At 56.0% G+C, this 22,550-nt stretch overlaps 1 protein-coding gene and 2 pseudogenes across 2 annotated transcripts, besides 2 other annotated features; all 3 read right to left on the bottom strand.

Annotated features, from left to right (window-relative positions):
* CAMKV (CaM kinase like vesicle associated) lies at positions 1,412-13,329 on the bottom strand. Of its 2 annotated transcripts, NM_001320147.2 has the most exons (12): positions 13,181-13,329; positions 5,717-5,825; positions 5,468-5,599; positions 5,214-5,288; positions 4,862-5,000; positions 4,603-4,723; positions 4,366-4,441; positions 4,139-4,275; positions 3,894-3,972; positions 3,594-3,681; positions 3,193-3,304; positions 1,412-3,099 (listed from the first exon to the last, which is right to left on the bottom strand). In NM_001320147.2, exons 2-12 carry the CDS (start codon positions 5,809-5,811, stop codon positions 2,741-2,743), a joined length of 1,413 nt encoding a protein of 470 aa, NP_001307076.1. In that variant the 5' UTR covers positions 5,812-5,825; positions 13,181-13,329; the 3' UTR covers positions 1,412-2,740. The 2 variants fall into 2 exon arrangements, with proteins under 2 accessions (NP_001307076.1, NP_076951.2); NM_024046.5 differs by having other exon boundaries at positions 1,412-3,304.
* RN7SL217P (RNA, 7SL, cytoplasmic 217, pseudogene) lies at positions 6,798-7,083 on the bottom strand (annotated as a pseudogene).
* Positions 11,149-12,081: an enhancer, noted in NCBI's record as "H3K4me1 hESC enhancer chr3:49905159-49906091 (GRCh37/hg19 assembly coordinates)". NCBI's record gives its function as "activates a minimal SCP1, AML or CMV promoter by ChIP-STARR-seq in primed H9 embryonic stem cells {active_cell/tissue: H9 hESC(primed)}" and the evidence as "EXISTENCE:reporter gene assay evidence [ECO:0000049][PMID:30033119]".
* Positions 12,082-13,013: an enhancer, noted in NCBI's record as "H3K4me1 hESC enhancer chr3:49906092-49907023 (GRCh37/hg19 assembly coordinates)". NCBI's record gives its function as "activates a minimal SCP1, AML or CMV promoter by ChIP-STARR-seq in primed H9 embryonic stem cells {active_cell/tissue: H9 hESC(primed)}" and the evidence as "EXISTENCE:reporter gene assay evidence [ECO:0000049][PMID:30033119]".
* ACTL11P (actin like 11, pseudogene) lies at positions 16,768-20,729 on the bottom strand (annotated as a pseudogene).

A 22,550-nucleotide genomic window follows, 5' to 3' on the forward strand; every position in this document is an offset into this window, starting at 1 on the left:
GGAAGTGACAACACAAAACTTTGGGCGGAGCGTGAATACTTCGCCTGGATTGGACAAATTCTCGGATGGGCGGAACTATGGGCGGGGCTTAGCGGCCCCGAGGCCGTAGAGAATCCTGGGCGGAGCGCGGTCGCTCTCAGGCGTCCTCTGGGGAGACTCGACCTGCCACTTGAGAGCGCAGCATTATATCAAGGCGGGGAGCAGCGAGGCTGCCAGCTGGACCCTTTTCCAGGGCAAGGCAGCGCATTGTGGTCCCATGCCAGAGCTGGCGCGAGGCAGGCTGGGCCAAGGCAGAGAAAACCGCAGCCGCAAGGGAATAGAACAATGGTCCCGATGGGTCCCTTGGGCTCTGGACAGTGATGGACCATGCGCTATGGTCTGTAGTTCCCATAGACCACAATACCCTACCCTCTCAGTCCTCAGTTCCGGGCGATTCTAGAAAGATGGACACATAGGCCCCAGTCCCTCAGGTCACCCCAGGCCAACCTTGGCTTCATCCAAGTAAGATATGACTATCCTTGAGTTTGGAGACACTAGGGCCAGTACCCTGACTTTAGCTCTTAGCTCTCAGGAGGATCAGTTATGCTTGAGACTGTAGTAGGGTTGGAATTTTGGAGGCCCAGATGCTTCAAAGACTAGAGACTAACAAATCCTTTTTATTATTCCCACATCAGAGAAGTTATCTTTGAGGAGGTTATCTTTGAGGTCCTCCCAGAGAGCAGCATCCCTGGTGAGTTCACCCAGGCCCACCTGGGCTGGAGTAAGTCAACTTTTGGGTTTTTAGGCTTAGTATCTGTGGCAGTGTTACTCCCTCTACCCAGAAGAAACCCTGTGCATAGTCCCATAATATAAAGCTGATCTGCTCCAGCTGAAATAGACCCAGAGTGAGATTTCATTTGGGGCATAGGTGGAAAGCACAGGTGTTCACAGAAAGAAGGAATCAACACAGAGCAGCATAGAATCTTTGTGCATTGCTCACCCTACACCCTCTCCCTAGCTCAGGGAAGCTATCTTTGGCTATGAGCAGGGTCTGTCCTTGCGGTGGCTGGCCCAGGTAGATTCCAGCTCTATGCCTAAATCAAGAGTAAGGCTCCTCGGTCAACAGGAGTCAAAAACAGCAGCCCTTACTTGAGCTCTCAGCCCAGGGAGTATTCCTTGGTCCAAATGCAGCCCAAGACCCACTACTCACATGGATTTCTAGAGTTCAGAGGACCCCCACCACCACCACCATTGAGGAATACACTGTGGTGAGGATGATCTTCACCCTCAGCCCAAGAAATCCACAGGGCACTGTTCACTACTACTCCCAGCCACTACTTGTGAACCTGCTCCCAGCCTCTCCCTTCCCCACTGCCTTCCAGGGGCTCCTCCCCAGTAGGACAGAGGAAGCAAAGGCGAGAGGGTGGCCAGAGGCTTTGCAGGGTGATGTTTATTTGCCAGGTTCAGTAGGCACACAGTTAACCCACCGACCTTCACACACCAGAGCAGACCCACAGGCATGCAGGGAGAAGGGCAGGACCACCACGGAGTGCCGAGCAAGGGCGAGGACCAATGTGGCTGCCTATCCAGGCTGTGGTAGGGTCTGACAAAGGGCACCTGTCAGGAGCCTCCCTCAGGAAACTGGGGAGTTTAACCCTACTTCCTCATCCCAGAAAAAGCAACTCAATGTGGCTCTGAGGCACCTGGGCCTCTGATAGAAGTGAGCTGTAGAAAGAGGGAGTTCCTCTTCATTTCATTGTTGAACTGAGCAGAAAATCTGCCCCTGTAAAGGGCAAACCTCCAAATCAGATTATGAGTTATTGCCATGCAGCAAGCCCCCTAGGGTGGAGAGGACTTGTGGGCTGAGATTGTAGGAGGTGGGCATCTAGGAAGAGCAAGGAGGTATCAGCCCTCCCTGTTTGGCCCAGGGTAAGGACCCAGTAAGGCTGGGACACTGGGTGCTGGGCTTGTACTCTGCCCTGCCAGGTCTCATTGCCACGTCCTAATTGTTCCTCCTTTCCCTTAGAGGCTCATGAGGTTCAGGGTACAGGGCAGCCCACTGCAGGACTCGGAAAGGCAGGAAATAACACAAATAACAGGGTCTTAGGAAGGACAAAAATGGAAGCTTCTGCCCTCCTACTCATTCTCTCCACTCCTGAGGACCTCCACAGCTAGTGAGCAGTATCCCTAGCCATGTGCCAAGTCTGGACTTAAACATACTGCCCTACCTTTCTGCATCCTCTATACCAGCCTGTATCTGCTCCTAGAGCAGCCCACACACCACAGGCACACACCTTCATGTGCAGGAGCCTAAGACCGCTGACAGGGCCTCGCTGGAGGACCAGCTCTCAGGGCAAGGCCGCCCAAGTTTAGGGCCTGGGAGAGTGTGGGACCTGCAGGGCCTGCCTAGGGGAATGGTGAGGCAAGAAGGGAAGGGGAAGGAGAGCAGGAGCCCCCTGAGTATCCCTAGAGCAGCATCCCACAAGGAACAGAAACTGGTGAAGCTAGCAAAAGACAGAAAAGCCACAAGGAATCCATGCAGGGGCTGGGGCCGGCCCTGCCACTGGCCTGCCCACCACTCACACACATACACACAGGAGACGAGACTGCTCTCCCGTGACCCCTAGTTATGCCCCACTGGGATGTGGGGGCATGGGGGAGCGAGGGCATCATGCCAGTGACTCTATGTACAGTGAGAAGCCCCTCATCCACTCTCCCACCCTCCTGCCCATCCCCTGCCCCCCCTCACCAGGCTGCCTACTCAGCTGGCCTCCTCCCTTTGAGACTCCTGGGCATAACCAGCAGCCTCTTCCCCTTTACTAGAGGGTGGAGCCTGGCCTGTGGCGCCCTCTGGGGCTGTGCTGTCCGGCTGGGCCATAGCCGGCTCAGGGGTGGCAGCTGCCTTGGTGGCCAGCATGGCACTGCTTTGGGTGGTGGGCACAGTGCTCTCTTCTGTGGCTGGTGTGGCTCTCCCATCAGTGGCTGGAGTAGCGCTCCTGTCAGTGGCTGGGGTGACACTCCCATCAGTGGCTGGAGTGATGCTTCCATCGGTGGCTGGGGTGACACTGCCATCAGTGGCTGGGGTGGCACTTCCATCTGTGGCTGGGGTGGCACTACGGTCTGCGGGGGCCACATTATCACTCTTTGCAGCACGAGCAGCATCACCCTCAGGGGCTGAGGTAGCTCCACTCGCAGCTGCAGCTGTGGCCCCACCTGCAGCCCCGGGGGTGGCAGTGTCTGTGGCTGAGGCCGACTGGGCTGCAGCCGTGCTGGACTGCTCTGGTGCCCGGAGCCGTTTCATGAGGGTGGTCACTCGGACAGCCTTCTGAAAGGAGCACAGTGGAGAAAGGCTAAGGGTGAGGCTTGCTGGATCCATTGCTTGGCAGTGACCAAACCAAACTCCTTCCATAGTACCCCCGGCCACCTCCATCCACCCCAGGGCCAAGTACTCAGCTGCTCAGCACTCCTACTTAAGGTAATCACAGTGGCTACACCCACACCTGATGGCCTGAGAAAAGCTTGTGTGTGGCTGCAGGGGTGTGATGCAGGCAAGAAACTGAGTGCCAGAAGCAATACTTGGGATAGAGCCAAGAAGGGAGTTATCCAAGCCTTACCTTCCACTTGGCCCTGGCAAAGTTCTTTTCAATCTGGGCACAGACACCATCCTTGATGTTCTTATCAGAAGCAGCATTGCCAGAAATCCTGGAAAGGGTGCAAGTGTGTCTGGATCTGAGAGAATGAGCCTTTGTGGAGACTCTGCTCAGCCCTTCTATGTGGCATCCAGGGACTACCAGGCAGAGCCTCTGGGCTGCCCTGAGCTCTAGGTACCTGCACCCCTTCCAGGCCTCAAAGATGGGGCTGCTGGGTGTGAGGGGGACCCTGGCCTCTCCCACCCTCCCCTGGACCCTGCTCACCACTCATGGGAGATGGCCTCTTCTGCAGTGATCCGCTGGTCTTGCTCCACCTCCATCAGCCTTGTGACCAGGTCTTTGGCTGTGGACAAAACCAAGAAGGGGATAGTCATGGGCACCCCATCTCAATGTCTAGAGGTGATAAATGGGCTGGGGGACAGAAGCAGAATACCACAGAGGAAGATGAGAGCAGGACACCCTCCCCACTCCCTTGCGTTCTACCAAGTGCTGGGCAGGCACCTCCTCACCTGCCTGCGAAATATCATCCCAATATGGAGAGTCAAACTCATAGTCACCAGCCAGGATCTTGCGGAAGAGATTCTTATCATGGTTCTCATAATCATCTTCTTCCACCTCCTCATAGAAAGGTGGATTGCCTGAAAGCCTGCATGGGGGAAGGGTCACACAGAAAGGCCACAGACACATGCCCCCACCCCATCTGACTGCAAGCCTGCTTGTCCATCTGTCCACTCACAGGATGTACATGATGACTCCAATGGCCCAGCAGTCCACAGGGCGTCCATACCGCTGCCGGCCTACCACCTCTGGGGCTACAAACACAGCGCCCATCTGCTGGTCAGTATCAGGCCTAGCCAGGTCCAGTACCATCCACACCAGCTTCCTGAGATGAGCACATTTTCCCCCTGCCCAGAGCAGCTCCCTGAAGGCTGCCCCCCATTATCCCCCTGCCCCTGCCCCACCCCCTGCTTGCCCAGATACTCGGGGGTCCCACAGGGCTCCTTGATGAGGCCATTTTCTAGCTTAGCCAGATGGAAGTCACTGATGACAATCTTCGAGTTCTTCAGCCGGTTGTAGTAAACCAGGTTCTCCAGCTGTGGTGTGAGAATAGCATGTGGGTGAGCAGAAGACACCATGAGGACCTTGGAGGCTAGACCAAGGCCCTGAGGTGCTGCCCACCCCAGCACCAGCCCAGCTGCCAACTGGCCCTTTGACTCTGGCTCTGCCCTCACCTTGAGATTCCTGTGCACGATCTTGAGTGAGTGCAAATAGGCCACGGCCTCCAGGACTTGCCGTACCACGTTGCTTGTGTCTCGCTCCGAGTAGTAGCCCTGGTCCAGGATCCAGTCAAACACCTCCCTCCCCGTGGCCCTGAGGGACACCAGCCCCTGAGCCTGGCGTGGGCAGAATCAGGGGTAGGGCAGGAGCACTTGGGTGAGCTGCCTACGCCAGGCAGCTGGCTGAGCAAGGCACAGGGACCTGGGACGCCAAGGGTCCAGAAAGGGGGTTTCCTTAGCTGCAGAGGGTGGGACAGGTGAAAGCCCTGGGCGCTGGGGAATCTTGGGTCCCCAGACCCACACTCACAGCTCCAGGAAGATAAAGTACTCCTTGCGGGTCACAAACACATCCACCAGCTGTAGGATGTTGGGATGCTTCACCCTGGCGACAGGGAGGGGAGCCAGTAGTTAGGGCTGGATGAACCCCTGGGAGAGGCTGTGGTCACCACAGTGGCCACAGCAGACTAATTGGCCAGAGGCTGGGACTGCCTGAGGCCACTTGCCCTCTAAGCCCTTCCCTGCTGCCTCCCACCCCGCCCCAATCCCAGGCCTCAAACTCACATCTTGAGGATGCCTATCTCGTTCTTGGCAGCTTTCCGCACCTTGCGGCCGTCCCGCTTCTGGAACTTCTTGCAGGTGTGCAGCTTGCCTGTCGTCTTGTCCTTGGCCCGGAAGATTTCACAAAACTCCTCACTGCAGCCGACAGGCACCCACTCAGGCCTGGCCTTAGCATCAGCTGCACTCCACTGCCACTTCCCTAGCCCCTGCTCACCAGCCCACCCAGCCTTGCCTGACAGGCCCGGCACTCACGTCTTGATGACCTGTCCCAAATCATATCTGTCAGTCACCTCCGATGGCTGGTTATAGTTCTTCTTGTCGCCCAGAGTCACACACCCAAACGGCATTGCCAGGCTCTAACCTGCGGGCACAATGGGGTCTGGCTTAGCTGTACTACTCTCCACTTCCCCACAACATAGGGGCTGCTTTTGGGAGACCCCAACCTGGCTCAGGCCAAGCTAGGGGCAGAGACCATACCAGGAGGGGCTAGAGGATAGGCAGGCTTAGATCCTACCCCTGCTTTTCTGGCTAGACATCCAGCTACTCAGCTTGGCTGCCTGAAGTGCAACAGCCTACATATGAAAAAATGTATTAAGCTGATATATAAGGGAATAGTTTTGTATTCTATACATTCAAAAAAAAGGCTTATCAAACAGTTTATTTAAATTTCAGCTATTTTACAGATGAAGGGGGCTATAACCACCCACCCACCTGCTAGTCATCTCTGAAGGTCTAGAGCTAACAAGTGTTAGTGGATATATGAAGAACGTGAGCACTGCTAGGAGAGGGCAAACTCCCCTTTGTAAAGCAGTTTGGTAAAACCACTAAAGTCAAACAAACATACCCTATGAACCAGCAATTGCACTCCTAAATACGTGCCTACAGAAGTGCACATATTCGTGCATCAGGACAGTCATACAATGCTCATAGTAGCCATATACATAATCGCCAAAAATTGAAAACAGACCAAATACCACCACCAACAGGATGTATTGTGGTAGAGTCACACAATGGAATATTATATAGCAATGGAAACAAAGGAGCTACAGCTATACCCAACCACCTGGTGACTCTTACACAGTGTTAAGTGCAAAAAGACACAAAAGAATACATATAGTATGAGTCTATTGATAGAGTTCAAACAGGCAGAACAAACCCGTAAGGGGGATACAAACACAGCAGTAGAGCTATAAAGAAAAGCTAGGAAATAAGCAGAGTCAGATAATGGTCCCTTCTAAGAGAAAAGGAGGGGTTATGATTGATTCAGGACACATGGGGGGATTCTGGAAGACCTATTTCTTTTCTTTTCTTTTCTTTCTTTCTTTCTTTTTTTAGAGACAAGTCTCACTATGTTGCCCAGGCTGGAGTGCAGTGGCTATTCATGGGCACAAGCCCACTACTGATCAGCACAGGAGTTTTGACCTGCTTCGTCTCTGACCTTGGTTGCTTCACCCCTCCTTTAGGCAACCTGATGAGCTCTAGCTCCCAGGAAGTCACCATACTAATGCCAAACTTAGTGTAGACACCCAACTGGCATAGCGCACTGCAGCCCAGAGCTCCTGAACTCAAACGATCCTCCCACCGCAGCTGGGATTACAGGCACCCGCACCATGCCCAGCTGTTCTGTCACCCAGGCTGGAATGCAGTGGCACCCAGGCTGGAATGCAGTGGAATGATCACAGCTCATTCCAGCCTCAACCTCCTGGGCTCAAGCGATCCTCCCACCTCAGCCTCCTGAGTAGCTAGGACTGGACCATAGGTGCACACCACCACAACTGGCTAATTTTTAAAAATTTTTTTGTAGATACAGGATTTCATTACGTTGCCCAGGCTGTTCTTGAACTCCTGGGCTCAAGTGATCCTCCCACCTCAGCTTCCCAAAGTGCTGGGATTACAGGCATGAGCCACCATACCTGGCTTGGGTAAATTTTTTAAAGTTTACATACTGATGTACCCTCACAAACTCTTTTCTGGAAGAATACTGAAGGAAATAAGAGTTCTCTCCTGGGCAAAGAATTGGATGTCAAAAAGGCAGACATATCTTTTGTTTACTAATTTTCTGTGCGAATTTTTACTATTTTACTATAATGACTTCGATGAATTTAGTAAATACTGCACTCAGGCACAGTGCTTGGGGGATTCCTCAGAGGGATAATCTGGGTGGAGAGGCAAGGTAAAGCTTTGGAGGCAGCATTAGGACTCAGTAGGAAAAGATTTGCCAGGAGGTATGCAGGTGTACTGGTCAGGAAGAGCAAAACAAGCCTGATCCTGGTCCCAGCTTTCGGCTCTGCATATGCATTCATGCCCACTGGGGCCCACAGGGGACCTGGGCTGTCAGGTCCAGGTGCAAGGCCCCCAAACAGAACAGATATAGCTGGCTCAGTGAGCGCTAGGCACTCTTTCCACCTGGGGCACGGTGTCCCACAGGTCTGCAATCCTGCCAATTACAGCCCAATCCTCATCTGTAGTGCTAGGGGGGCTGACTCCAGTGTCCAAAGGAAAAGGCACTCATAGCCCATGCTCAAAGCTGGGGGTGGGGGGTTACTGACTAGACCTTCACAGATCTGACGCCAGGGTGTGCCTCCATAATACCCGGTCAGTGTGACACTGGGGCTACAGCAAGCTCTGCACTGAGGCTGCGCTGAAATTGCTCTGCCTCTGCTGACTGTGCATGTTTTCCCTCCATGCCAATTAGCACTTGCTGTGTGCAGGGCCTGAGCTAGGGCCTGGGGGTACCTAGATGCTCCCCGACCTGAAGGCACTCACAGCCTCAAGGTAGTGGAGAAGGGAGGAGGCAAAGGAGGCAGCTTGGCAAGATGAACTCTGCCAGCCAAAGTCAAAGACCAGGACCCAAACGAGCCCCATAGCCAACCCTGGCTGCTACTTGCTTCCTCCCAGGCAGAAGCCAGCCACCAGGCTGTGATTCCCAGGAGTCACAGCCCTGGAAATTCTCCCTCAGATTTGCCTTCAGCATTAGGGAACAAACTCTATCATTCCTTCATCTGGGTTGCTTGGGCTCAGGGAATACAAATGCATTTCATCAGCATTATTCCAGACAGGGTTTAAGCCATCTTGCGAGGCACAGCAGAGACAAAGGAGAGGCTTTGAAGATCGTCACTGACTGCATGTCTGCCACCATGGGCACAACCCTGCACTCCTCCACTGGGGAGAAGCATGTGGCCAGAATCCCATCCTCACAGCTGAGAGCAGAGGCATAGCCAGTTACCATTGCCGGCTACACATTTTCACACCATAACAGCTGCAGGAGGGGGCCTGCAACAGTCATCTCAGTCTGAGGGCCGTGTACTGGGCAGGAGGATGGTACCTTAGCCTGCAGTCTCCCAAGAAGGCTGGGAGGGACCTGTGCCCTGGCTCTGTTGCTTTGCTTACACCATTCCCTCTGGCAAGAGTGCCCTTCCCCCAAAAGCCTCCCGTCAGATTCCTATTTGTCACGGCAGAGTTATTTATAACATTAAAAAAAATTCAGCAACTACCTAAATGTCCAACAACAGGTGACTCGCCAGCTCAACTGTGTCCACTCAATGGTAGGAAGTGTGGGCACTGGCAAGAGCTCTGCCCACCTTGGCTTTCCTGTGGAGCAGCTGCCACATGAGCGAGGTGCTGAGAGCAGAACTGAATCTCTTCTTTCATTGTGATTTCTGACATTATAAGGTGGTTTGTGCAACACATTGTCCAAAACAATCCTGATGCTCGAAGGCCAGACTCAAAATGGCCCTTTTCTGAGATACCTTCCACAACCTCCATGCCCCACCCCCCACCCCACTCCAACAGCTCCCAGCTTTGCCAGTGTGGCGTGGGTGGGAGGTTTTGTGCATGCCTGTCCTTGATCCTGGCCCCAGCTTTCGGCTCTGCATATGCATTCGTGCCCACTGAGGTCCAGGGCTGGTCATGGGGGTCTGTCCCATGAAAGGCACAGAAAACTGGGCCTCCACCCCGTAATGTCAGCCTGGAGCCATGTCCTGAAGCCTCAAGGCTGAGATGGGAACAGATCTGTCTCCCCTGCCCCCTACTATGGCTGCCCAAATTTCAGCCAGTCACTCCTCCTCCTCCTCCTCCTCACCAGTCTAAGTATACTGGCTTGGGGCCCTGGACTTGGCCCCAGGGCAAAGAGAGGAGAAAGAGGGGCCTGGCTTTCAATTAGCACCTTGGTTCCCTCTGCCCACACCCACTCCACCATCTGCTATCCACTGTTGCTCCCTGGGAGGTTTCGGGTGTGTGCACCAAGCCCTGGGCACCTGCTTGCAACAAAGGAGACCTGGGAGGAACAGCCAAGGGACAGCTCTCAGAAAGAGAGGAGGCCAAGTGGAAGGGGTTTGTATTTTTCACCCCCATGGCCCAGACCCAACACCCAACAATGGAGAGCTCTCCTCTCAGCAACACAGGATCTGAGCTCTTCCTCAGGTACACTTAGGCCATGGAAGGGCATGGGAGCTCCACAACAGCCATTTCCCTGGAGACATGGCTCCCTCCACTCTCTGCAGAGGAACTGAACAGTATGCACTACCGGCTGCCCAGAGGGAGCTTGTGGGGAGTGCAGGCCCTGGTGCGGCCATTGCCCTCCAGCTGGCTCTCATGGAGCCTGAGAGCCAAGCACTCCCCAGTTATGGCCTGCTCCCAGGGCCTGACCACTGGACTCAGGGAATTGAGCCTCCAGCAATCCTGAGGGGTCCTCTGTTGGTGCCCTGGTGATAAATGGTCCCCCAGGGACTCTGCTGCATCTTTAGGTAAGTCTGGCCCAGGGAAAGCCCAAACGGGACAAAGGCCAAGAGGTCCGGAGGCCCCACATTGGGGTCCTGTCCCCTCCTCCGCTGAGATCATCCTGGTTCAGGCCCTACCTTTCATAGACATAAACAGAGTTTCCTGCTACCTTGGTCCCCTGCCACGTGGGGCTCCAGAGCTTGCAGTAAATCTAGGGAGGCCAGGAGGGGCCCAAGAGGCCTCCAGCTGCCTCCCAACAACTGTAGGCAACACCTCCTAATTTAGTGGCAGCTGTGAACACCAGCCTGCAGGCACCCCCTCCTCTCTGCTGCTCTACTCTCTCAAGGGCTGGGGCTGGGTTTCCTGCTGCAATGAACATGCTGAAGCCCAAGCCCTGCTTAACTCACAGCTGAGGTGTCACCCACAGGACCAGGGGAGCTGAAGACCTCCCTCAAGGTCTGTTAAGAACAAGGGCCAAGCTTCTAGACCACCATCCAATTGCTTCAGGGGACCGGTCAAGGGGCTGCCCTGACTGAGCCTCCGGCTCGAGCTAAATCATGGTAGAAGTTCCTACAGCTGAATTTTGCCCATCTAATGAGGGAGTATTGTGGGGAGGTCTCTCCAGTTTTGGGGGTGGGCATGCAGTCCAGTGCTACATCCCGAAAGTTTAGCTGTCAACATGCAGGCAAAGCCAAAGGCCAGCTGTCTCCTCCCAAGCACTTGGGGTCCAAATCTCTGAACCCCTGAAGGAGAATCCACTGGAGGCTCTGCTTCCCTGTGGGTGGAGGAGGGGAAATGCAGAGGAAGGCACTAGAGTAAAGGGTTGCTATGGTGATGGAAGTTTTAAAACAAGGGGAGGGGGAGGGGAGATGTGTTGGTCAGGTCCCTTCTTCAAGAATTTCCTGAGACCTTAGCCTGGCTGCTTCTTCAAGGTTCTGTGACCCAGGTCCCCATCAAGAAAGGGGAGGTGGGGAGATGGAGAGAATTTAGAAAAAAGAGAATGGGGCAGAGACACAGACAAAGACAGAACCTGTGATGGAAGAGGAGCAAGGAGATGACAAAGTAAAAGGGACACAGGCACAAAGGGCAGGAAAGGGGAGGTGGACGGGAGTTCTGAAGGGGGCGGATGGGTGCCCAGCAGAGCCCTAAGGCCTCCATGGCGATGTGCTCTAAATCCCTGGGCCAGGAGCTATCCATGGTACTGGGACCTTCGAGACTGCACCCTCCTGTATCCCCCAAACATACACTGAACTTGGTGTAGGAGGCACAGCCAAAAGGAGGCCAGCTCCTTGGAGCATGTTGGTGGGGAAGAGGCCAGCTGCTGCAGCCCCCCAGTCAGGACAGTTCCCAGCCCGTCTCTCTGCCATCACGGCAGCTTAGGTAAAGCAGGTCCAACATGTTGAAGGCAGACGCATAGGGGTATGGAAATGAGGCTCGGATGCCTGGCTGCTTCCCTTTATAGTCCCTCTTCTCAGTTGGCCCAGCTGTACTTAGACCCTCCCAGCCAACCCCTCCCCCATCTGCTATCCTTTCCAGGCTTTGGGTCCCCAGAGCCCCTCTTACAGCTCTGCTTAATCCCCTCTCACCAACCCCCAACAGCAGATCCTGCCATGAGTGCCAGAAACGGCACCACAAGCAACCCAGAAACAGGATAACCACACAGCCCTTCACCTCCCCATGCCTCAGTTTCCCCTAATGGAAACCATGGAATCTGGCCTTCTCCCAGGGCAGAGGACTGCTTGCCTGCCTGTGAATGGTGGCCAGGGCATGGGGCTGGAGAGTAGGGCCATCAGAGATATGTGAACAGCCAGCCTAGGAGAGCACCTGAAGGGTCCACACCAAATATTAGAAAAGGGAGACCCTTGCCCCACCCTGGAAACCAACCTGACTCTGAGTGGAGACACCAGTTCCCCAGTTGAGGAAACTGAGGCTCAGAAGTCGCTGGAGCTGCCAGGAATCAACTCTGAGGGTGGGGGAGGGCACCAGGTCTCTAAAGGTAGTCCTGGGGGCTCAAAGCCTGGACTTGGGGGTAAGGGGAGTACAGCACAGGGACTGGACTACTGCAGACTCTGAGCTTTTAGTGTGGGACAGAGGGCCCTGATCCTTAGGAAGGAACCTGGTGGAGCAGGATCTGCCTGGGAGGTGCGGACAAAAGCAATTTGGCAGAGCTATGCGGGGAGGGGGCTGGGGCTCAAGAGCCCAGGGTCTCTGCCAAACAGTACAAGCTGGGGAAGGCAGAAGCTCATGCTGTCACTATCCCAGCCACCTCCAGCCAGGGGCCCTGCTCCCCACCGTGCTGCCACCCTGACCCCTTTCCCAAGTGCTGCTGGCTCGCCCCCGCTGGCACAGCAACACACATGCGGAAAGCACACGTGTGAGCACCAAGCCCCGCACCTCCCAGCAGGAACATGTGCGCCCCCACCCCCACCGTGCACGTGGGTCCATGCACTGGACCCCCAGCTGGCACCCAGGTGAAGGCTTGGAAGCTGAATTTTGGCTGGGGGGCTGCTGGTCCCCAGGGGCTTGGAGCTTCCTCCCCCACCCCGCGGCAGCCCCGCCCAGCCCCCTCCGGGTTGTCGCCCATAAAGAACTCTCCGTTGTCATGGAAATTAGTGACTGCTAAGCGGGAGGGAAGGGGCCCGGGGACAGTTGGGAGGGGCTGGAGGCGGCTCTGGGAACGGGGAGGGACGGCTCAGCTCTCGGCCCCTATCCTCACGGGGGACCACGAATCTTCGAGGGTTAATCTTTTCACAATTCCGAGCCGCAGAAGCTTCCCCCCAGAACCCCCAAGCCGTCCGAGGTAATGGGGAACTTTAGCCCGACCCCGCACTCCCTCCCCCAAATCTGCAAAGCCCGCGCGCTCTGACCCCGCCAGGACCTCGAGCCCTCGCTGCGCCCCCGCGCACTCTGCATCCCGCACCTCGAGCCAGGGAAACAATCCCCCAAGGCCCCACAACCTGCGTTCGGGAAGCGCCCCCAGCCCGGCCCGCCCCGCACCTGCAGCGCCGGTTGGTCACAGGGAGGAAGTGATCGCGGGCTCAGCGGGGCGCCGAGGGCTCCGGGGACGGCGGGCAGAATCCGCTCCGAGCACGCGGGGCAGACGCGGCGCCAGATGCAGCCGCTTCGGCTAGCGAACCTCCAGCATCGCCAGCCGCTTGCCGGCACCGGATTCGCACCCCGGGCCGGGGGCGGGCTGGGGGCGGGGCCTCCCAACCGGCCCCGCCCCGACCCTGGCGGAGCCTTAAGGGCAGAATCCCACTGGAGAGCAGGAGCGCGCGGGATGGCAGCGGTGCTGGTGAGCACTGGCCTGCTTAGCCCTGGCCAAGGTTCTCAATGGCTCCCTTAGGCCCTCAGCCTGGGGCCGGAGGAGGCCTCCTATGCCCAATGTAAGGGGTGGTGAGTGGAGAGTTGGGGGAAAGCCTGAGTCCTGGAGCTGCATAGGATCGCTTGCCAGTCATTAGTCTCTAGGGAACGGGGCTTTGCCCAGCTCCCCGAACCCGACCCAAAAGGCAGGACCAACTTAGAAAAACCAGATGGGCAGTCGGGCTAGGGCAGGCTCCCCTAGCTAGGAGCAGTAAACACACAGAGGTGTGTGTTTGCAGGTAGTCAGTGTGGCATCCCCTAGCATCCCCTAGCTACGCATCCCCTAGCTAGGAGCAGTAAACACACAGAGGTGTGTGTTTGCAGGTAGTCAGTGTGAAAACAGTGAGGGCCCTAGACTGTAGTAGCAAAGTCTCCTATCCCACCCCATCCCCAACTCCTGCAAGGCCAGAGTCTTTCCCAAACATAAGTACCAGCAAGGGTGGCAGCACAGTCAGCCCCTTCCTGTGTGGCACCAAATTTCCCAAACTATAAAAGTCACCTGTGACATGGTGTGGCCTCTGCTTTCTTTTCAGTCTAATCACTGTCAAACACTTCATGAGTTGTATCACTCTAGTGGCCTGGCCTGGGATATGGGGACACAGGAGAACTGTGGCACCAAGGTATCCCACCTGGCCTGGGTGCTAATCAGAGGGAGGAGGCTCAGAACCACCAGGAGGAAGCTTTAAAGGAAGTCCTTGGCCATTTCTCTGTCCCTTGTCAGTGAGGCTCACGGACCCAAAGCCTGACCCACACCCCTCACAAGCCCTGAGGACCATCCTAAGGCCAGTATCTGAAGACCAGACTCAGGCCTCTCAGTGTCTGGAGCTGGGTTTTATCCCACCTCACTCCTCCCAGTGAGCCTCCTGACCCTGCTGTGGGAGAGGGAGTTGGGGTCATCCCCAAACCCTCAGCCATCTTGAGGCTGCCCTGGCCACCCATGGCTGATGACAGGAGGGACTGTCCAAGTCCAGAAGCTGGGGCTGGGGCTCAGACTGAAGGCTAGCTTAGGAAATGACCGCCTCAAACAAGGTTCCTCAAAATTTTCCTCCAGAGGGGGTACTGAGCCCTTCACCTTCCTCCCTGGCTTGGTGTTACCTCCTCTAGGCCAGGCTGGTGCCACTTCTGGGGTCCCTGGGCTCTGAGTGGTCTCGGGTTATGGGACCCACCCCACCACTGGGTAGGAATCTCCTGGCAGGCTGGGTATCTGCAAGGCAGAACCCGTTTCTCATCTCAGTATGCTCGGCTGATGTCTGCAGAATGAATGAATGGCCTGGCACTGAGTCCTTCCTGCCATCTGCCCACTATTCTTGAAACAATGGGTCTCTGAGTTTTATGGTGTAGCCAAGCTGTAGCTTGCTGACCCCACACATGCCACATACATGTTTTCTGTCTTTCCTGAGGGTCATGGCTATCCAGGCATGGGGGTCAATGAGAAGCTGGAATGGGGATTTTTAGGCAGGGGAAGGGGTGGCTCCTTAGCGCCCTGCCTGCTGCTGGCAGTACTCCACCTCTTCTTGGTCCTAAGCACGCTCTGTGCATGTGGGTGAGAGCACGTGGCAGGGTGTGTGTGCACACGTGTACGTGTTGTGTATGCTCTCTTTTGCCGAGGGAGATGCAACAGCACAGTGTATGCAGTGGTGCCCAGGGGCACGTGTGTCTGCATTCTTTGTGCACCCAGGCATGCTTGCTGGCACGTGTGTGTGGACGCTGTAGCTGGTCCCTGGAGTTATCAGTCCCCTTCCTGCCTGACACAAGTCTCAGGATTGTGGAGGCTGAATCAGGCTTTGAGAGCTGGACATGGGAAGGGGGCTGGACCATGTCCAGCAGTGGGCAGGGTCTGTGCTGACCCTACATCATTGGCTGTTTTCAGGCTCCCCACCAGAGCAGCCCCTTGATCTCTGGTGTATGTGAAGATAGACAAGTCTTTGCCATTTGTGGAGGGCAATCTGAAGACAAGAACCCAGGGCTAGGATTGAGCCATGGCTTATCCCTCAGCCCCTAGACAGGAAGGCACAGGCAGGGTAGGACCGGCTTCAATGTTTTGGCTTCAACCTCCAGCTGCCTTTCAGGCAGGAGATAGTAACATCAGCTGAATGCCATCCTCTTAGCTCTTCCAGGGCAGGGACGGGACCAATGCTGAGCTTTGTTCTTACTTCCACTATTCAAAGCCAGACGGGGTCAGGGGACATGATTTCTCACCACTCCACTGGCCAGAGTGATGGCAGGAGGCCCTTTAGCACAGACCAGAGTTTGGAACAAGAGCAGAGGCAATCCAGATTAGCATTGCCTAGTAGCCTTTATGAGGACCCTCCTAAGGAGGCCTGTACCCTGAAGACAGGGGCTGCCTGGGTTGGGAGGCTGAGGAGGAGAAGAGGGCCCAAGTTCGTAGTTCTGGCTCCCACCAAAGCTAGAAAGTCAGAGGGGCAGAATAAGGTGCGAGCCGCAGTATCCACAGAGCTTCATCCCCCAGCTCAGGTTGGGCCTCCTACCCAGGATCCAGGACTTATCTGTGCCCCCAACTCCCAGCTCTAGGGTGCCAAAGGCCGGCACTCCTATGCCCTTAGATTCTGGCTGGCTGATAGAAGCCCCTGCTAACCCAGCATAGCGCTCCAGCAAAGGTTCAGACTCTAGGAGGTACCTAGATTACCAGTGCAGCTCCCCAAGAAGCCTGAACTCTGACAGAACCCTCCCACCCCAGGCCCCCAGCCATCTTTGAAACTGCCTGACTGTTGTCCATGTTGCTTGGCTTCAGTCCCCAGAAGAGGGCCCACAATGGGGAAGGGCAAGCAGTCTTTTCCTCTGGAGCCAGGGGAGGGGGCTGCCCCCCGCCCCCCACCTTGTGACTCACTCCAGGCTGTGTGGGTTATTACATTATGTTTGAAATTGCCATGGCAACAAGCTGGCAATCAAGGGTAATTGCACTTGTCGTCAGGGCAACGGGGCAAAACCCACAGCAGCCACTGTCTGTGGTTGCCCTTGGGGTGCAGTAAAGGTCAGGCCAGATCAGAGCCAATGCCAGTCAAGGGGCTCCGGGGCTGTCTAGAAAGGGTAGGTTGCCAGGGCCCATGGAGTTCCAGAGTGCAGAGGCAGGGCATGCCTTTGGAGAGAGCCAGGGCCCCCATCCATGACCCCATGCCTGGACTCCTGCTTTTCCCACACCACCCTGTGGCTGAAACATGCCACGGTGCTTAAAGAAAGCAGAACCAGAACTTTTATATGCTCACAGCTGGTACTTATAGATAGCCCATGGGCCCTCTTCCTCATATTCCTGGCAGCTGAGCCACAGGCTCTGGAAAGAGCTCCGGGATGCCATGATGGAGCCCCCAAGCCAGGCAGCAACTGCACGGTGGGGAGACCCCAGCACAGTGGCACCAGGGCCCAGCTCCTGTCTCAGGCGCTCAGGGAAGCCACTCATGAGGGTGCTGCCACCGTCCAGTACCACATTGGCCAGTAGCTGCTCCTGCTGCTTGGCCTCCAACCGGCTGATGCTTAGGAGGGCCAGCTGTGGAAGGCCCAGCTGGTTGAGACCTATCAGATTGGGTTGGAAGAGGGCCTCAGGGCAGCAGAAGCGCTCAGGCCCCAGCGTGATAACCTGCTTGTCTGGAAGCACAAAGTCCACCTCGGCCTGCGCCTGGGTGTGGGCCCTCTCAGCTGCCACATCCATGGCCACGTAGCAGCAGGCCTCTTTCATCTGGTTGATCAGTCCTGCCTGGGGCAGTGAGTGGCCACTTCTCTGCAGCAGCTGGGCCAAGTAGTCAGTAAGGTCAGCACCAGCCACATCCAGCCGGTAGGTGTCAAGTGGGGCCAGATCCCCAGTGAGGATGGGTGCCACATAGGAAGTGCCATGGCCACTGCCCAGCACCAGCCCAGTGGTACGTCCATAAGCATAGAGCGCCAGCAGGGCCTGATGCACTGTCTGCATGGCTGGGACATGGAAATGCTCAAAGAGTATTTCAGCCACCTTTTCTCGGTTGGTGAGTGGTGAGATGGGCGAGTCGGCTACGAGCACAGACAGCTTCTCGGGCTGCACACCCAGCCTTCAATAGAACAGGTGCTGCCATAGCACCTCTAGTGCATCCCAGTCATAGACCACACCACGGTTCAGCACTGAATAGGATCCCACTTGGTTTTCAGGCACTGCATATCGTGGCTGGCCCTGGGCTGGGTGCTGCAGCAGCTGAACTCGTGAGGGTATGACACTGAGGACATGGTCCTCTCCCGCCAGTCCACATTTGGTGAATCCTGTGCCTGTATCAATCACCACGGCCGCCATGTCCTGGAAGGGTCCCAGTGAGTGGCAGCAGAGCACTGGCGACCGAACTGGCAGAGCATCCATGGTGGACACCAGTTCATAGCAGGCCCCGTGGGGCAGTCCAAGGTGTGCAACTACTGATAAGTGTGTAAGATCCTCAGCTGTCAGCTTGAATGGGGCACTCTGGGGCTCAGTGGCCACCATGGCCATGGGCAAGACCTTGCGTCCAGTGCCAGGTGTGGTAAATGTGATCAAGGGAAGCTGCTCCTCCTGGGTCCTAGGGGAGTTGCCAGGTTGCTGCTGATGCGTGATGGAGTGCTGAGTATTACTGATGCCAACCTTGTCTCTACTCATATAGATACAGGTCTCCTCAGGGGTCAGGGGCACCTGAAATACCCCTACATGAGTAGGCAGGCCTAAGGGCTCATCTTCCTGGGTGGAGACCTGGCCAGGTTCTCCAGGGTTGGGGGACCATCTTGAAAGAGTGGGCTCTTTGGTGATGGGGGGTTCTTTAGATAAAGAGGGATTCCTAGCAAGGGGTGTCTGCCCAGTGAGAGGGGGTTGATCAGTAAGGGGGTGCTCAGGTAGGGGTGGCTGTCCAGCAAGGAGGATCTGCCCAGTGAGGAGAGTCTGTCCAGCATCTTTGGCCTGAGGGTTATCAGGGTGAGCAGGAATGACCTCTTCGTGGCTGCCTATGTCTTCCTGGAGGAGGGATCTGGGCACTTCCTGGGTATCGGCTGGTGCAGCAGGCTCTGAGTTCATCCACTGCAGTTTCTTGGTCTGGACTATGGAGGCATCTGGCATCCTAGAGGGTGCCATGGAAGGGTCTAGCATCCAGATGGTATGACTAGGTTCATTTTTTTCACCATCAGGCTTGGACCAGCTAGTATTAGGGACATGGGTCAGTATCCTCTCATCAAATTGGAGGGGCATCCCCAGTGGAACAGGCCCAGTCAGCATCCCAACCCTGATGGGTGTCTCAGTACCAGGGGAGTCCCATGACTCCAGGTTGAGCCTGGCCTCCTTGGGAATCAGGGCTACCTCTCGGTAGCTGCCAGATGAGAGGCTGCAGGGCACTGGGCTGGACAGCATGGGTGTGATAGACCAAAAGCTGGAGTGATTGCTGTCAGGAGACAGGATGGGTTTGGCCGACAGCTGGGTGGACAGCATATTTTCAGGGACATAGATGGATGGGTGGCTGGGCATGAGGCCCACAAGCACTGCCCGTGAGCCCACAGGGTCATGGCACAGCAGCCCCATCAAATACCAGCACACGGTCCTCCACAACTTCCTGAAGCTGGCAGGTTGGGGCACTGGAGAGGGGGATCTGCATGGCTTCCTTCGGAGACTGGAATGGGGACTGCTTGTGGCAGGTTACTTGGTAGGCAGACAGTGGCACATTAGAGCTGGTATTGTCACAGACATTGGGGAGCTGCTTCTGTGGCTGAGAGCTACAGATCTCCTGGCTACTCCTCTGGGACTTGGAGATAACTGGGGGCTCTGGGCCTGGCATTGGGCTGCCTGGCCTGGAGGTAGAGACTGGAAGTTTCTTCATGGGGTTCTCAGCCTCCTCAGTTGGCACCTTCCTTCTGGGCACCTTCCTTCTGGTAACCTCCTCCTCCTGGGCATGGTCTGGGCGCTCTTCTAGAGTAGGCTTTGGGATGGGAGCCTCCTCTTTAGAGTGGAGATTCACTTTGTCCTGGCAAGATGCAACTATTTTGGAAGACTCCAAGACAGTTGACCACTGATTGCCACACTTCCTGAGAAGGAGGTCTTGAGATGGGCCCTTGGTGACTGCAGTGGTGTCAGTCAGGTGATCAATGGTATGGATGTCAGTTTCAACTGCAGTGGGGGTTGGGGTAACATCCAGAGCTGGAGTCGTAGCCCAAGCTGGAATTGGAGGAGTCAGTGACAGAAAAGAAGGTGTAAGTCCGGGCACGGTGGCTCACACCTATAATCCCAACACTTCGGGAGGCCAAAGCAGGTGGATCACCTGAGGTTGGGAATTTGAGACCAGCCTGACCAACATGGAGAAACCCAGTCTTTACTAAAAATACAAAACTTAGTTGGATGTGATAGCGGGCACGTGTAATCCCAGCTACTTGGGAGGCTGAGGCAGGAGAATCGCTTGAACCCAGGAGGCGGAGGTTGCAGTGAGCTGAGATCGCGCCATTGCACTCCAGCCTGGGCAACAAGAGCAAAACTCCATCTCAAAAAAAGAAAGAAAGAAATTTTAAAAAAGAATGTGTAACTAGGGCAGCAGCCTGAGCTGGACACTTACCCTGGTCCTGATCTTGGGCTAGATCCTGAGCTGGAGCCAGAAGAGCACCTTGGGCTTCGGGAGCACCATTCTCTCCTGAGAGGAGGAAGGGCAGCCACCGACTCTTCCTGCTGCCCAAGGAGGCTATCTGGTCGGAGCTGCAGGGGCCTTTGCCCCAGCCTACCAGGACCTTAGCTGGACGCTTGCCTTCCCCCAAATTCTGCACCTGAAACCGAAGGTGGCAGGGTCCACACTGGGCTATGTCACTGGTGCTGTCACTGTGCATGCACTCTGGTAAGGTCAGGGTGACATCCTCCATGATGAGATGTTGTTGGGCTCCCACAATGGGACTTGAAGATACACTAGTGGAGGAGAGTCTCGGGGCATCCTGGGAGGCCTGCTCACAGCAGCACTGGGAGCTAACCCAAGCAGGATCCTGGAGTAGCTGGCAAATGGACCCAGGGATGCAGGCCTGGGAGGCTGGGCCACAGGCACCATCAGTGATGGTCTTGGTAGACAATGACAACCCCTGCTTGAAGTATAGGGATTCTGAGCTTATCCGTGGTCCCTGAGACCCTCTGAGGCCACTCCCCAGCTGCTGGCTGCCGGCTGAGGGGTGGTCCTGGGGACCCGATGGATCAGGGCCCCCCACCTTCTTGGTGGCTTCCATAGTCCTCCTGCTCCATGCCCTAGGTGCCCTGCCCTCACTCCATTGCCATGGTGACCTTACACATCACAGCCCCCTGGGGATTGACTTGAAGATTCTGAGCAGAGGATCCACCCCCACCCCTGCTGCGCCCATCCCTAACCCTGCAGGATACTGGTCCTGGGCTTCAGGGACATGTGGCTCTGGGAAGGGGTGACATCACAGTGACCTGGGGAGTGCCAGAGTGTAGGAAACCAGGGTCCCCATGCTCCTGAAGAATGGAGGCTTGCCCAGGGAACCTTAGGAGGCAGGGGGCCAGGGGACACCAGTGAAGTCAGTCAGCTGCAGGCCAGCCTCCCCTATCCTTCCCAGCCAGGTGCACATTCTGCCCAGGCTAGTCCCACAGTGAGGGCCAGGAACTGTCAGGATAAGGCCAGAGGAAAAAGGTAGGCAGGGGAGACTCTGAGGAAGCCCCTGGCACAGAACCTTTGGATGGTGTGCAAAGTCCCTTCACCACTCAGCCCTGGGAGGCAGAAGTGGGTGAGGGACCCAAGCTCAGTCCCAAGCTCCCCTCCTTATGTTCCCCGGCTCCCGCTCCAGGGACAGCAGCTCCTTGGCAGTCTCTGCTGCTCCAGATGGTTCTCCTCTGCCTGTGCCTCATGGAGCCCCCTCCCCAGAGCCACATGTCCCTGAAGCCCAGGACCAGTATCCTGCAGGGGTAGGGATGGGGGTGGCAGGGGTGGGGGTGGGGCCTCTGCTCAGAATCCTCAAGTCAGAATTTCTAGCTCTTGACACATTGTGTCAGCTTCATCTTGGCCATAATGGGGGCAGAGCTCTGGGCACAGGGCTGCACCACAGCAGCCACAGGGCTAGCCAAGTGGCAATTACAGGATGGTAAGACCACAGTGGTCTCAGGGCTAGCCCCACAGTGGGGACATAGTGGGTGGAGGACTGAGTACACAGTGGGCATAGAGCTGCATATACAGCAAGGACAAGTCAGACAATGAATTAGATGGGGCGATGCATAGGAAATATAAGCTACCAGACCAGGTGGGCAATTCCACCCTCCATTTCTTTTCTTTTTTTTTTTTTTTTTTTTTTTGAGACAGAGTCTCGCTCTGTCACCCGGCTGGAGTGCAGTGGCGTGATCTCGGCTCACTGCAAGCTCCGCCTCCCGGGTTCCCACCATTCTCCTGCCTCAGTCTCCCGAGTAGCTGGGACTACAGGCGCCCGCCACCACGCCCAGCTAATTTTTTGTATTTTTAGTAGAGACAGGCTTTCACCGTGTTAGCCAGGATGGTCCTGATCTCCTGACCTCGTGATCCGCCCACCTCGGCCTCCCAAAGTGCTGGGATTACAGGCGTGAGCCACTGTGCCCGGCCCCATTTCTTAAATAGAGAGAAAAAAAGGGGGGCAGGGAGGAGTGGAACCTGCCTGGAGCAGCAGCCTAGGCTCAGAGCTGCCCTATAGCCACAAGGACAGGCCTAGGCAACAGTTTGGAGAGCTGCACATTGCCACAGGCCCAGGTCTGGAGGTTCTAACCTGTGGTAGGGTCAGGCCCTCCTCCTTCCCACCAGATCTGAGCTCTGGGCCTCCTCCCTCTGTCTGGCAGGGCTGTGTTCTTTCAGGCCTCAGTCTTTCCACCCAGGAAACAGGTTTGTGGACAATATAACTGTAGGTTTGTTCTCTGAAACTGTTTTCACAGAGGTTAAAAATAGTGTTTACAGTTGGCTGTGGGGTGTGAGGCTCTGTGACCAGGGACAAAAGTTAACACAAAGGTGCTGCATCTGCAGCTTGCTAACTTGGCACTGGGCACAGCCAGGCTCTGCCACATCTCAGGCCCCCT

Source organism: Homo sapiens, chromosome 3, assembly GCF_000001405.40.
Source record: "Homo sapiens chromosome 3, GRCh38.p14 Primary Assembly".
NCBI classification, from domain to species: domain Eukaryota; kingdom Metazoa; phylum Chordata; class Mammalia; order Primates; family Hominidae; genus Homo; species Homo sapiens.

Bases quoted from the DNA above. Each gene is read 5' to 3' on its own strand.
- CAMKV (NM_024046.5), bottom strand. From the start codon at position 5,811: ATGCCGTTTGGGTGTGTGACTCTGGGCGACAAGAAGAACTATAACCAG. The intron at 5,600-5,716 runs GTGAGTGCCGGG...TGTCGGCTGCAG, and splicing joins TTGGGACAGGTCATCAAGAC to TGAGGAGTTTTGTGAAATCT. The intron at 3,682-3,893 runs GTGAGCAGGGTC...CACCCTTTCCAG, and splicing joins GAGGCCATCTCCCATGAGTG to GATTTCTGGCAATGCTGCTT.